This window comes from Homo sapiens, chromosome 2 (assembly GCF_000001405.40).
Source record: "Homo sapiens chromosome 2, GRCh38.p14 Primary Assembly".
In the NCBI taxonomy this organism is placed as follows: domain Eukaryota; kingdom Metazoa; phylum Chordata; class Mammalia; order Primates; family Hominidae; genus Homo; species Homo sapiens.
Genome location: NC_000002.12, coordinates 160855143 through 160870487, shown reverse-complemented (window position 1 = coordinate 160870487; position 15345 = coordinate 160855143). Strand labels below are relative to the sequence as shown.

The window sequence follows — 15345 nt, the reverse complement described above, 5'->3', positions numbered from 1 at the left end:
GTGTGTGTGTGTGTGTGTGTGTGTGTGCGTGTGATGTTTTCGAGAAATGTCAGTAGATTTGGTTCAGAACAAGAGCAACTTGCATTCTTCTGATAGAATTCCCAATTGGCCTGCAATGGTAATGCTTATGGGAAGATCAAGATTGTGCATGTGGTAATGTCTTAAGACTTTGGAAAAAACCTTTCGAATATTAGCCAGACTCTTTGAAGTGAATTCAGAAATACTAAAACACAATTCACAAAGAATGTTCTTTTGGAAGTGGTGAGTTGGACAGGAGCAGGAATGACTTTCAGTTTTATAACTTTAAAAATAAAATTTGAAAAATTTTATTTTAGATTCAGGGGCACATGTGCAAGTTTGTTACATGGGTACATTGTGTGATGCTGAGGTTTGGAACATGAAAGATCCTGTCACTCAGGTAGTGAGCATAGGACCCAACAGTTAGTTTTTCAACCCTTCTTCCCCCCCTTCTTCCCCAACTAGTAGTCTCCAGTGTCCATTGTTGCCATCTTTCTGATATGACTGTTTTCGGAGGTAAACAAACATATAAACAAAATACAAAAAAGATTACAGTTGGAGTTTTTGTGCTTCTAATGGTAATGGGGAACACAATAAGTAATAATAATAAACAGCAACTTTCAACTTGACTTTTGTCCAAACCAAATAGAATTTGAAATGTAGATGTTTTGACATTTGCAAAATGAAGAATCATTGTACTTTTGCATGATCCTAAAAAGTTCCCCATTCCTAACACAGCGTGTGTTAGGAATACAATACTACTAGATTGCATCATTTTTACTGTTATTGGTCAATGCAGCTTGGGTACATTCAATCACTATTCGTTGACTAGCTCTTTACCCACAGGAATAGACTGAACTACCCACAGGAATAGACTGAACTGACCTTGTTCTCTGTGGGTGAGGGAGCCTGTTCCTAAGACAAAAAAGCATGCAGCTTCTGCCAAGACCCACTTCCTTCCTGAGTCATTTTGGATGCAAACATCCTTGGCTTCATCTGATGGACAGAGGATGAGAAATCTATTTGTCAAATAAACAGGGTAAAGAGATGATAAAGAAAAAAATCACAACCACTATTTTGTAGCAAGCTGGGAAGGATGAGCATTACCTTAGTTTTCTGTTTTATGGGAGAGAAAAAGAGACTGGGAAAAGACTGTTCTAGATAGGCAAGAAGGTGAGGTGATCTATGGGTGGTGTTACCTGCTCGATCAGGCAGTTCTGGGAAAGGAACACATGCCTGGGGTATGCCACAGCCAGTAAAAACAACAAAATAAAGAAGCAAAAACAGTGTCTGGATCTTGCAGGGTTTGGGATCCAGGCTGGTGCTAGGCAATATCTTGAAGTAAAAAATGTGTTGTGTACAGCTGTTTACTTTAGCTTGCTCTCCCCTTACCTCCCCAGCCCCGACTCATATATACACTGTGGAGTTTCCAGTATGACTCTCCTAATCCCAGTGAGTTTGCCCGCTTATTAGATGACTGCAAGCCTGGGACCCAGGCTTTTTTTTTGACCTGGGGCTGTGGAGAGAGCCCCCTTCCTTCCCTGGCTGTCAAACTTTATGAATGTATGCTAGAGCTAACTGAAGCCATTGCTCTGGCCTCTTGTGGATGGCCAGTTTGAGAGAATAAGGCCCAACAAGAACATTCCAAAAATCCAGAGAGGAAGGTGTGAGAGGGAGACCATGAAAGGAAGAGCACTCAGGAAAGTTGGAGGAGAGCGTAACCAACAGGAAGTGACCGTACCCCTGAAGCCATTTCCAAGCCCACTCTGTCTCTGGTTTGGTCAATAAAAACCTTTTTTAATTTAAAATAGTTCAAGTTAGGTTTCAATTTGAGATGGAAAGATGCAGCCAAGAGTCTTGCCTTGAGAGACAGTAATGATCCCAAAGGGAGTGAAAAAGTCAATGGTGGGTTTTTAGATGTTGTAACACTTGGACAGAGGACATTTAGAGCAGCTTTCCTTTGTGACCTACTGTCATAGTTGCCGAAGGGAAAGGGAACACTGGGTAGTTTTTTAAGAAAATATAGATCCATTGAGGGAAAATTGATGCAAAACAAATGCATATATTGACATGTACAATTTGATGAGTTTTGATATATTAATGCACCAATGAAATCATCACCAAACTCAGGAGAATGAACACACCCATCACTTGCAAAAGTTTCCTTGTGACCTTTTGTAATATCTTCCTCCACATATTAACTTCCCACCCCAATCCCCAGGCAAACAATGGTCCGTATAAATGGAATCACAGTGTATGTACTCTTATTTAGGACATTATTTATTTAGAATATGGATTCTTTCACGTAGGATAATTATTTTTTGATTCATCCATGTTTTTGTATCCATAGTGCTCTCTCTCCCCCCACTTTTTTTTTTATTGCTGAGAGTATTGCATTGCATGGATATACCACAATTTGTTTATCCTTTCACCTGTTGCAGGACATTTGAATTATTTCCAGTTGTGGCTACCAAAAATGAAGTTGCTGTGAACATTAGTGTATAAGTTTTTAGATACACCTTTTCATTTCTCTTGGGTATATATGTAGTAGGAATAGGATTGCTAGCTTGTATAGTAAATGTTACGTTTACCTTTTTAAGAAATTACAGAACTCTTTTCCTAAGTGATTATAAGCATTGTTTAAAAGTTCTAGTTGCTACCAATCCCCATCAGCATTTGGTATTGCCTGTCTCTTAGTTGAGCCATTCTAATGGGTTTGTATGGTTTTAATTTGCATTTTTTAAACTTCTGACAATGTTGAGCATTTTTCATGAGCTTATATGCCATCCTTATGTATTATTTGATTAATTGTTCAAATCTTTTACTCATTTAAAAAATTCTAAAAAGTTTTAAAATAGCTTTACTTAGGCATAATTCACGTACAATAAAATTCACCCCCTTTAAGTATACAGATCAATGATTTCTAGTAAATTCATATAGTTGTGCAACAAATAGCACAATCTACTTTTACAAAATGTTCATCCCATCAAAACGTTATCTCCTACACATTTGCAGTGAATCTTCACTCCCACTCCCAGCCCTAGACAACCCTAGATCTGCTTTCTGTCTCTACATATTTGCGTTTTCTAGAAATTTCATATAAATGGAATAAGAAAAGATGTAGTCTTTTGTATCTGGCTTTTTTCACTTATCATAATATCTTTGAGGTTTATCTGTGCTGTAGTATGTATCAGTCATTTGTTCCTTTTTATTCCTGAGTAGTATTCAATTGTATGTATTCAATTATATGCATATATAACACTTTATCTATTTGCCAATTGATGGACATAAATAGTTTCTAGTTTTCAAATACTGTGAATAATGTTACTACAAACACTCATGTGCATATCTTTGTGGGACATATATTTTCATTTCTCTTAGGTAGGTACCTAGGAATAGAATTATTGGGGTGCATAAGTATATGCTTAACTTTTTAAGAAATGACCGAACTCTTTTTTCAAAGTGGCTGTTCTATTTTATATTTTCATCAACAAAATATGAGGGTTCCGGTTTCTCTACAGTTTTCTTCAACAAGATTCAAGTCAAATAACTACCATGCTAGTACATGTGGCCTTTTACTCTGGAAAACTGAATCAGGGATGGGCCCTTGGCTGATAGGTGCTCTGCCAGGAAAGCTCTGCCCATGAGGACTGACAGAAATCAATTGGGGATCCTCTCTCTGGTAAATTTGATATAAAGAAGGAATAAAGTGCTTGATGAAAATATATGCAGAAGGAAGCAGAGACACAGAAATGCTGAGTCCCATGAAGGCAGAGCACTAGAGGAGAGCTTGGTGAACTGCTCCAGCCATGAGGGAACCGGATCTGCACTGGACCTTGACGGATCTCCCCTCTGACACAGCCTCTCCTCTTCTCCATCTGAAACCCTTCCACTGTTTCTTCTAAAGTAGTCCCTGATGATCAGCAAGTTCTCCCATGTCTTTACTGTCTCCTTGACCTATCTTATGTCTTCTCTAGAACTTGCCTTTCTGTCCCTAAGAGATTTCTCCTCCTGCAGAACTCTCAGATTGAGGCTGCTCATCTACTCACAATTCACATTCATCAGCTTTAAGAGGTAGAGTCAGTGCTCTCTTCTCTTTCTCATTGCCTTTACTACACCAGTGTTTCCTGCTCCAGACTAGATTTCCATACTTTTGTTAATGAACAAATGTGTATCTCCCCATGAGACTCAGATCACTTGACCATAACACTCTCCATCACAGTCTTTGTTTCTGTCTCCTTCTATCTCCTTATTCAATGAACACCTACAGTCAGTCCTCCTCTCCTCAGAGACTCCTACATGTAGGCAACTTACTCAGCCTCCTTGTTTCTGAGTCCCTTGACCTTCTCATCTCCAATGTCTGTCTCCTCTATTCTACTGTAGCCACTTCTTTCAAAGTTTCACTGTGGAACTTGTCATTGCTGTGACTCTACCTCTGAAGTTATTAATTTAAGCATTTCCCTCTCTGACAACAACTTTCTAACTTTCCAACTTGCTTTGTAAAGTACCTCCTCTTCAAGTGTTCTCTCACCTCATCAGGACTTCCTTGATCAAGATTGATAACTATCCTCCTTCTTAATCTATTAAAGCCCTGCTATCTTCACTTCCCATTCTCTCCAGCTCAGATTCCATGTTTTACTATTTCAAACACTCCTTTTCTATGTCATATAAATTCCCATACCTTGTCCATCTTCCACACTCACCTTTAATAAAAAAGCAATTTGAGGAATTCCACCTACATCGTCTTCATAGATTTTCCCAGCAATTAAGGGTACAGGGTACAGGTATCACTATACATTCATGGTCTCCAGACTAAACTGGGCTCCCAACACTACCTGGTTACACTATTCTACCATTCTCTTTATTTTTATTTTATTTACTTTTTTGAGATGAAGTTTTTGCTCTTGTTGCCCAGGCTGGAGTCCAATGGTGCAATCTTGGCTCACTGCAACCTCTGCCTCCCGGGTTCAAGTGATTCTCCCGCCTCAGCCTCCTGAGTAGCTGGGATTACAGGTGTATGCCACCATGCCTGGCTAATTTCTGTATTTTTAGTAGAGACGGGGTTTCACCATGTTGGCCAGGCTGGTCTCAAACTCCTGACCTCAGGTGATCCACCCGCCTAAGCCTCCCAAAGTGCTGGGTTTACAGGCGTGAGCCACTAGGCCCGGCCTCTACCATTCTTTTTAACAATCACCTCAAAGCTTTTCTACTCTCCTCAAATCTTTGATCAATCTCTGACAATATGCGCCTCCCTATTCTCAGCATATGACTCTCTCTTCTACATCATGGAAAACATGGAAGCCTTTAGACACTGAGCTCCTTCATTTACTACTTAGCAGACCTACAGCTCTGCTCATTAAGGATTTTGCATCCACTTTCTTCCCTCCTGTTGTAATGCAGGAGGCATCCTTCCCTCTGCACCTCCTTGTGCTCTCTGACCTTACACATAGCTACTTTCTCTGGAACTCTTAGTTCATCCTGTCTCTCACTCATATCTTCAACATCTAAATTTTTATCTTTACCAGATTCTTCCCAATAGCATTTAAAAATACTATAGTCTCTTCAGTCTTAAAGGAAATCTTCCCCCTTTTATCCCTTAAACACACACACACACACACACACACACACACATGCACACACACACACACACACCCCACTCACAGGAACCCTTCTGGACCCCACATCCATCTCCAGCTGCTGCTATTTCCCTTCTTTTCCCTTTAGAACCAATGTTTTTAAGGATTTCTCTATAATTATCTCTTCTGGCTTCTGTTTCCCACTATATCACTAAAACTGTGTTCACTAAGGTCACTGAGAAATTCCATAAGGCTAAATCTAATGGATGCTTGGGGTCTTATCTTCCTTGACCATTTAACCCATTTGATATGTTGTTCACTCCCTTATTCTTCAAACAAATTAGGCTGCCCAAGAGACACAGTACACAGTAAACCAATGCATTCCAACCAGGGAACCAGAGAACTGGATTCTAGGTGCCTTTTTAACCACCAGTCTGTCAACCTTCCTTTTAACCACCAGGCCACCTAGTATCTCTGGGCTGAAGTGCCACATTTTTTAATGTGAAGAGAAGACTTCATGGGAAAGTGGGTGTGGACCAGATGGCTTCTTGAGGTCCTTTTTAGCCCCTGGAACCCATGGTTGCTGATTTTGAGTCACACATGAGTTAGCAGTCACATTTGTATGCATGGTTCAGCATTCCCGTCTTTGAAGTGAGACATTTTCTCTTGCTGCCTAAATTACTTCTAGGTTATAACTTCACCTTTGGAAATGATATTAACTGTTTCAGGTCTCTATTCTGTTCTTTACTAATGACTGGATTTTCTAGAGAGAAATAACTAGCCAACTGAAATACCAAGTTAGTTCCTTCAGCATGCTAAGAATCCTAGGCTATTTAAATTCATAGAAATGTGAAATTTTACTCACTGGGTCAAAGCACTAAGGAGAGAATATCTTTTTGCCCCAAAGACTAGAGCTATCAGGAAGACATATGCAATGTTTATACTGACCTCAGTTCTTATAAAAAGCCTTGAGGGGAAAAAGGTAACACAAGTAACAGAAAATAATAATTTATTTTTATTTCTAGACCACCCAATGTAGTTCAGTAGGAAGAGAGTGGGCTTAGAGCTAGAACTGAATTTAGACTCGGTTCAGTCAGCAGTTGCTCTGTGAATTGGGGCAAGCTACCTCAAGTAGCTCATCTGTAAAGTGGAGACAGTCATGTCTTTATTTGGTCTCCTAGCACAATTGTGAAAATCTAATGAGCCTACAAATATAAAATATGCTGAAAAGTACAAAGGCCTGTGCAGCTTAAGGTATTTACTAATGGAGAAATGAATGTCCTACAAAGGAAGATCTACTGGGGCAAGGACTTTCTGAACATATTTGTAGTAGACAGGGCATTAGATTAATACTTCAGACTACCACATATGACATAGCAGAGTCAGAAATTGTTAGAATATTGACCTGTTAAGGGGAAGAGAGTTTTAGGGAGAAAGATGTAGATGAGAATTGTTGGTTTCAATCTTCCTTCTGCATGTAGGTCTTTCAACCTACAGAAATTGATCTATAAACTTGAAGGAGATTGCTTATAACTTCTCAGCCATAGAGATTGCAGTTTGCAGAAGTTTTCCAAAAGAATTATTGCTTAAAAGAAAAGAACAAGCCAGAAAAAAACACAAGTCTAAACAGAGCGAAAAGTGAGATAATTTAAATTTGTTAATTTCTTCCAAAATTTTAGTAGATTGGAAAAATATGGTCCTGTGTCTCACTGGTATGTATTGAAAGAAAAGATCTTTTTCCCCTTCCCTTAGTTTCTTTCTCTAGAAGACACCATATATAAGAGAGGAAACTTTCCCTCTATCTGGTTTAAACTAATCTCAAAGATGTTAATATGAAAGTCAACCTAGGTACATTACAGTATATGAATTTAGCTACTTTGTTTCCACATTATTGTTTCTTCTTATGTAATCTTACACATGACATACTTGTCATCATTTTTTTCTTATAAATCTACTGGAAAGACCCAATCATTAGGCACATTATTTTGTGCATAGAAATTTGCCTTTCTCCCTTGCTATTCATGATTTGAATCAGGGCCACCTAAAGCAAAAATTTTCTACATACCTTCCTCCTCTTAATCTATTCCATGAACTCACTGCTCCACAGATGGTAAAGGTCTGCTGTTTATAAGTGGTCTTGTGAAAAAATTATTAAGTGATTTCATGGGTCACTCCCATTCCATCTGATTTAGGAAATAATATTTTGGTTTCCAGGATTTGTGTGCTTTTCTTGGCATCCTAGGGTATAAAGAAAAAGATAAATCTCTCCAGAAATACAAGGGATAGTTCACTCTACTTACTCGTGTCTGCAAGATTCTTACTTTTCAATTACAGAACCCACTAGAACTGGTTTAAGCAGAAAGGGATCTGTTAAGGATTATCAGATCACTTACAGAAATCTTTGGAACAGCCAGAGAGGAAACCATTTTAACAAAAGCTTCAGAGTAGGCATATCACAGCATCCTACATCTACCATTTGGCACTATTCATGCTAGAGAATAGCATAGGGGAATCTAGATTCCGTTATGATCAATATTCCTTTTGCCCAGGGTTCATTCTTAAATTTTAGTGGAGGAGGAATATGAATTGCTTTCAGTTTGTGAATATACATAGGAAATAGTGTTGGGAATTGCTAGATATGAAAACATGAGAACAATTCTGGATTTTTTTCTCCCTTACTTTGTTTAAAGCATCGTTTCCTAAAGATGGGACACTTTTCTCTGCCAGCCTTCAAAATGGCTTAGGTAGTACAGGATTATGGCATTATGTAGCCTTGAACCCATATTGAGGACTGTATTCTGTTTTCAATAATCTTTCAGTCCTGATTATATTAGGACAAAGTTCAGTATTTATGCCAGTGCTTTTAATTTTTCTCCCCCTTGTTGATATCCTTTTTAACAACAAAAAAAGCAAATTTCACTCAGGCTCAGAATGTTCAGCAGGTGGCCAATGGAAGTGAGTTAAACTTTAGTAATATTCTTTTGATCTTATTGTATTCATTTTTATAATTTACTTTTTATTCATAGTACTAATGCTGGTTTTCCATTTCCAGGTCATTAAAGTTTCCTTTCAAAATAAAAAAAATTAAGTAACAAATTGAGTCAACTTACAGAAAATATTAAATATACAACACATATGTGGTAAGCAGATGCAGGAAAAGTCCTGAAGGTGGAGGGCAAATGTCTAAAATCTCATAAATACTGCCTTATAGAATGTTTCTGATGCTTTATATACAGCCTTGGAGCAAGTTATTTAACTTCTGCCCAAGCTTTTCATCTTAAAATAGAGGTAACTTTAGCTTACAGAATGGAGTGGTTCATGGAGATAATGAATGTAAACTACTTCACAGTGTCTAGCACAAGGCAGAGGTTCAAAAAGTGGTGCCTATTATTATCAGAAAAGGTAGGTATCAGACTTCTCATTTTACAGAGGAGAAAATTCAGACTCAGAGAAACTATGTGACTACTATAAAGTTAAGTATTACCTACTTCGGGTGCAATCATTTCTTGAGCATTGAGTTAAATTTCAAAAGCCATATTTCATCACATTCCTGATGAGTAGCTGGGAAGGTATATGTAAAGACTGGCTCTATTGCTGATTTGGTGCATGATTTTAATAAATTGCTAGTTACTTTAGCTAGATGGGTATCAGTGTTGATGATGCCATGTGTGTAAACTTGGTTCTTGAGAGATTCTTTATAACTGCACTGTTTTGTGACTGCAGAGTGTAGTTATCACTAAACTAAATGCTGTTGGTGACAAGAGGGACTGAATGAGAGGATATGATGATAAAAATTAATCTTCTCATTGTTCAATTCCCACCTGAGTGAGAATATGCGGTGTTTGGTTTTTTGTTCTTGCGATAGTTTACTGAGAATGATGGTTTCCAATTTCATCCATGTCCCTACAAAGGACATGAACTCATCATTTTTTATGGCTGCATAGTATTCCATGGTGTATATGTGCCACATTTTCTTAATCCAGTCTATCATTGTTGGACATTTGGGTTGGTTCCAAGTCTTTGCTATTGTGAATAATGCCGCAATAAACATACGTGTGCATGTGTCTTTATAGCAGCATGATTTATAGTCATTTGGGTATATACCCAGTAATGGGATGGCTGGGTCAAATGGTATTTCTAGTTCTAGATCCCTGAGGAATTGCCACACTGACTTCCACAATGGTTGAACTAGTTTACAGTCCCACCAACAGTGTAAGAGTGTTCCTATTTCTCCACATCCTCTCCAGCACCTGTTGTTTCCTGACTTTTTAATGACTGCCATTCTAACTGGTGTGAGATGATATCTCATGGTGGTTTAATCATACCCCAAACCTCAGCATCACACAATATACTTGTGTAATGAACCTGCATATGTACCCCCGAATCTAAAATAAAAGTTGAAGTTACATTAAAAAAAAAAATTAATCTTCTCTACTGGAATGCAAAACTGAAAGTAGGGACAATTTCTCCCTCCCCTCCCCTTCCCTTCCCTAGTGAAGACAGACAAGCATTGATTTTAGGAGCACTGGTTTAGGAGCAGTTGTACACACATGTATGAAGAGACAGGACATCAGGACCAGGAACCATAGCAAGACTAATCTTATCCAGAATTACTATTTTCCTGTGAGGCTACCATGCCACACAAACTGTCCCATGCCACACAACCATGCTACACAACCAGACTAGCATGTGAAACTGCACTCACTTTGATCTTGACAAGTGCAGAGTGAGCAATCTCTAAGTGTGAAACTGTGGTGTTGCATTATTTCTGGCATTTCTAGAATAAGAAATGATCAGTTTTATTTTTTTAAAAAAAGCATAGAACAGATTTAAGATCAGATCATAAGGCAGTGGGAAAAAAAATTCAGAGCTTGAAAATTTCCATTTACTTCATATCAATCTTAGGCTCAGGCACCCACTCCTTCCTTACACACATAGTTAATATAGTCTGAACTTAATTTATTCACCAATTACATTCACTTGCTTCCCTAAGTGACAGCAGAACTTTATTATGGTATTTATCAACATATATAAAAAGCACACTTTTCAGTTGATTTTTAAAAAAATTAAAATGAAGTTTTGAGATTGTGTTTGTATCACATTTTTTGGGAGGGCAATTTAATAGCAACTCACAGTATTGTTGTAGCAGGGGTGATTATGAAGTTGCATAAAGTATTAGTAATGGAGTTCAACATGGAAGTCTGTAAAGATGAAAATCAGAAAAATCACAAACTGTCACCAGAGTAAGTAGTTGTAATTACCTCTAAAGGTAAAAGCTTATATCTATTTTTTACACAAATTTTTTAACCAATGTATCTGTAGTTTCTAGATGACCATTTATGTAATTTGTGATGGGATTGCTTGACAAATGAGACAGGTAAACAGGAACTGATAGTAACGAAAAACAGTGGTAATGTATTTGTTCAAAGCTGCCTGAGACTGCTTTAAATGTAACATGCCTCTCTATGAGAAACACATGATTCTGGTGGAAGGGTAGAATTCCCATGAAATGGTTAATTTACTAAAGATACCAAGCCATTTGGTAAATGCAGGGTGTTCAGTGCTAAGAGTGAAGCAAAGTGGCAAGTTGCCAAGGAGAGATGGAACAGGTTCATAGAGATGTATGTTGCAAGCATTTTGATTTGTGGCAAACTTGTTTGCCTCAGGAAGTCACTGACAGTGGGGGAGGAAAGGAGGTAGGTGCTATAGTTGTGTCTAACAAACACTGATCCAGACAAAACAACAACCAAAACCCAGGAGCTGACACTCAATCATTAAAGGATCCCAGTCGTTGTACAGTGCACCTATCTGGCCAACCCTCAAAAGAACTCAAAGAAAGCAGAATCTTAATTTCTCAAACTAGGAAATGGAAAACTGCAATATCTGAACACTTGTATCTAAGCTCAGATAGGAGCAGTGATAGTATTAAAATAGAATGGGTTTAATAATAAATCTTGGCCATGCAACTGCAATCTACAGAGTAGTAAATTTTTAATGTTCATTAGTTCTGCCTCCTTTTAAACAGTATACAAGTGTACTATGTCTGCGTGTACAATGATGCCTTTATATTGTGGCAGTAGTTGAAGAAATGGCTGTGCCATGATTAATTGTAGAACAGAATTGCTTGACAGCAGAGCTGTCAAATATCAAAACACTTGCCAGGATTTTTAATTGGACAAGCTGAGGAATGTATAGTGTTGCTATAACTGAAATCAATCTATAATTTGAATAAAAATTAACTCTTTAATACTGCCTTCCTTCTTACCTGCACAACGTCAAAATAAAAACCAAACCAAAACAAAACAAAAAAAACCCAACATGAACAAGCAAGCAAACAAACAAATGAAAATCCTCCATAGAAATGTTTGCATGCAGACATGCATTCATGATTGATGACTGATAAATAAAGGAGCAGTGTTTATAAGGCTCTTTGAAGTTTGCAAAGAGCTTACATGTACATTATTTTGTTTAATTGTCATAATAACACCATGAGATGGATTGTGCAGGCATTTCAGTTCAGTTTTCAATGAAGCCTATACTGTACCAGGTTTTGTGCTAGACACATAAATTAGAGGACATCCCTGTGGCCAATAAATTTGACAAAAGAGGAAACTGAGTCTCAGAGAGAGAGCGAGAGAGAGAGAGAGATGGTCCAGTAAGATTTTTTGCTGTAGATACCAAAAGTCTGTATCTTTGGATGCAAGTTCCAATGCTTTTATCCTTTTACGATGGTACCTCTGAATGGAATAAAGCCAAATTAGCCAAGAGAGAAATACATTTTTGTTGAAAGCTGGTTTCCAAGGCACTCTAAATTTCATACAGTGAAACCAGCGTAGCAGATAACTCAATTCAAAGATCACCTGCCTATTAAAGCAAGGTTTTTAGGCCACTGATTTTACTTCCTTATGAGTGATGCTGCATAAGCTTGCATTAAAACAGTGAATTTTTCAGCTTTGACATGTAACGAGCTTGGAAGACATGACTCTCAGTCTTACAAGAAAAAGCTAGATGAATTAAAAATTAATTGTCTTTCTTGAACCTATCAGAGAACTTAAGTTGCAGGTCAAACAGTCACCCCAAAATGTGAAGAAACAGGGGCATCCAGAGAGATATAGCTGTCATCTGTTTACTGGGAGCAGATGCTCCTGGAGCCATAAACTGGTAAGAATATTTAATGAGGACTTTGTTGGATTGCTGGAGGCTTAGTGTGGACCAGCAAAGACTTAGAAACTCCTGGGGGCTCCGCCTTTGGGGGCCTATGAATTTGTGGATTTTACCTCCAGAAACCCTAGCAGGGTTCTCACTGTGAAAATTAGAGATAAATCCCCTTGTAATTTTCACAGGGGGAGGGTACATGAAACCATATTGAAATACACCTTGGGAAAAGTAACTAGGTAAGTCAAGCTGATAGTATGTATCCTTCATATGACATGATGAGAATGGCATTATCCCTCTGTGCTCTTGCTCCCCAAAACTCATAACCCCAGTTTAATCATGAGAAAAACACTGGACAGTTCCCATTTGAGAAATGTCTACAAAATAGCTGACCAGTACCCCTCAAAGCTCTCATCAAGTACAATGGGACTTTGAGAAACTGTCACAGCCATAAGGAGCCTAAGGAGACATGATGACTAAATGTAATGTGGTATCCTGGAATAGAAAAAGACAGTAGGTTAAAAACTAAAGAAGTCTGAATAAAGTATGGACTTTAGTTAATCATAATGCTTCGATATTGGTTCATTTATTGTTAAAAAAAAAAGTACCATACTAATGTAAGTTGCTAATAATAGGAGAAATTAGGTGTAAGGTACATTCAAACTCTCAATTCTATTTTTCTAACTCTTCTGTAAATCTGAAACTATTCAAAAAGCAATGGATGAAAATGTAAATAAGATTGAACTGGGTTTTGAAATAACTTCTGAAGTTCACAGCACCTTGGGAAATATCTATGTCAGTAAGCGAAATTGGTTAAGCCCTAAGAATAGTTCTTTGTCTCTGAAGGCCTCCTCTTTGACTTCTGAACTTGGGTGAGATGCCAAGGAGTTGTGAGGGAGAAAGTGGCCCCCAGTGTGGTCACCCAGATTGAGGAATTGGCCCTTAATATTCTGCAGTGACAGATTTCACAGTAGAAAACAGTATCTGGCAGGGGAGGAGCCAAGATGGCCGAATAGGAACAGCTCCGGTCTACAGCTCCCAGCGTGAGCGACGCAGAAGACGGGTGATTTCTGCATTTCCATCTGAGGTACCGGGTTCATCTCACTAGGGAGTGCCAGACAGTGGGCGCAGGCCAGTGGGTGCGCGCACCGGGCGCGAGCCAAAGCAGGGCGAGGCATTGCCTCACCTGGGAAGCGCAAGGGGTCAGGGAGTTCCCTTTCTGAGTCAAAGAAAGGGGTGACGGACACACCTGGAAAATCGGGTCACTCCCACCCGGATATTGCGCTTTTCAGACCGGCTTAAAAAACGGCGCACCACGAGACTATATCCCACACCTGGCTCGGAGGGTCCTATGCCCACAGAATCTAGCTGATTGCTAGCACAGCAGTCTGAGATCAAACTGCAAGGCGGCAGCGAGGCTGGGGGAGGGGCACCCGCCATTGCCCAGGCTTGCTTAGGTAAACAAAGCAGCCAGGAAACTCGAACTGGGTGGAGCCCACCACAGCTCAAGGAGGTCTGCCTGCCTCTGTAGGCTCCACCTCTGGGGGCAGGGCACAGACAAACAAAAAGACAGCAGTAACCTCTGCAGACTTAAATGTCCCTGTCTGACAGCTTTGAAGAGAGCAGTGGTTCCCCCAGCACGCAGCGGGAGATCTGAGAATGGTCGGACTGCCTCCTGAAGTGGGTCCCTGACCCCTGACCCCCGAGCAGCCTAACTGGGAGGCACACCCCAGCAGGGGCACACTGACACCTCACACGGCAGGGTATTCCAACAGACCTGCAGCTGAGGGTGCTGTCTGTTAGAAGGAAAACTAACAAACAGAAAGGACATCCACACCGAAAACCCATCTGTACATCACCATCATCAAAGACCAAAAGTAGATAAAACCACAAAGATGGGGAAAAAACAGAACAGAAAAACTGGAAACTCTAAAACGCAGAGCGCCTCTCCTCCTCCAAAGGACGCAGTTCCTCACCAGCAACGGAACAAAGCTGGATGGAGAATGACTTTGACGAGCTGAGAGAAGAAGGCTTCAGATGATCAAATTACTCTGAGCTACGGGAGGACATTCAAACCAAAGGCAAAGAAGTTGAAAACTTTGAAAAAAATTTAGAAGAATGTATAACTAGAATAACCAATACAGAGAAGTGCTTAAAGGAGCTGATGGAGCTGAAAACCAAGGCTCGAGAACTACGTGAAGAATGCAGAAGCCTCAGGAGCCGATGTGATCAACTGGAAGAAAGGGTATCAGCAATGGAAGATGAAATGAATGAAATGAAGCGAGAAGGGAAGGTTAGAGAAAAAAGAATAAAAAGAAATGAGCAAAGCCTCCAAGAAATATGGGACTATGTGAAAAGACCAAATCTACGTCTGATTGGTGTACCTGAAAGTGATGCGGAGAATGGAACCAAGTTGGAAAATACTCTACAGGATATTATCCAGGAGAACTTCCCCAATCTAGCAAGGCAGGCCAAGGTTCAGCTTCAGGAAATACAGAGAACGCCACAAAGATACTCCTCGAGAAGAGCAACACCAAGACACATAATTGTCAGATTCACCAAAGTTGAAATGAAGGAAAAAATGTTAAGGGCAGCC

At 39.3% G+C, this 15345-nt stretch overlaps 1 annotated feature.

The window, feature by feature from the left end:
- Positions 13985-14592: an enhancer, noted in NCBI's record as "H3K27ac-H3K4me1 hESC enhancer chr2:161712407-161713014 (GRCh37/hg19 assembly coordinates)". NCBI's record gives its function as "activates a minimal SCP1, AML or CMV promoter by ChIP-STARR-seq in primed H9 embryonic stem cells {active_cell/tissue: H9 hESC(primed)}" and the evidence as "EXISTENCE:reporter gene assay evidence [ECO:0000049][PMID:30033119]".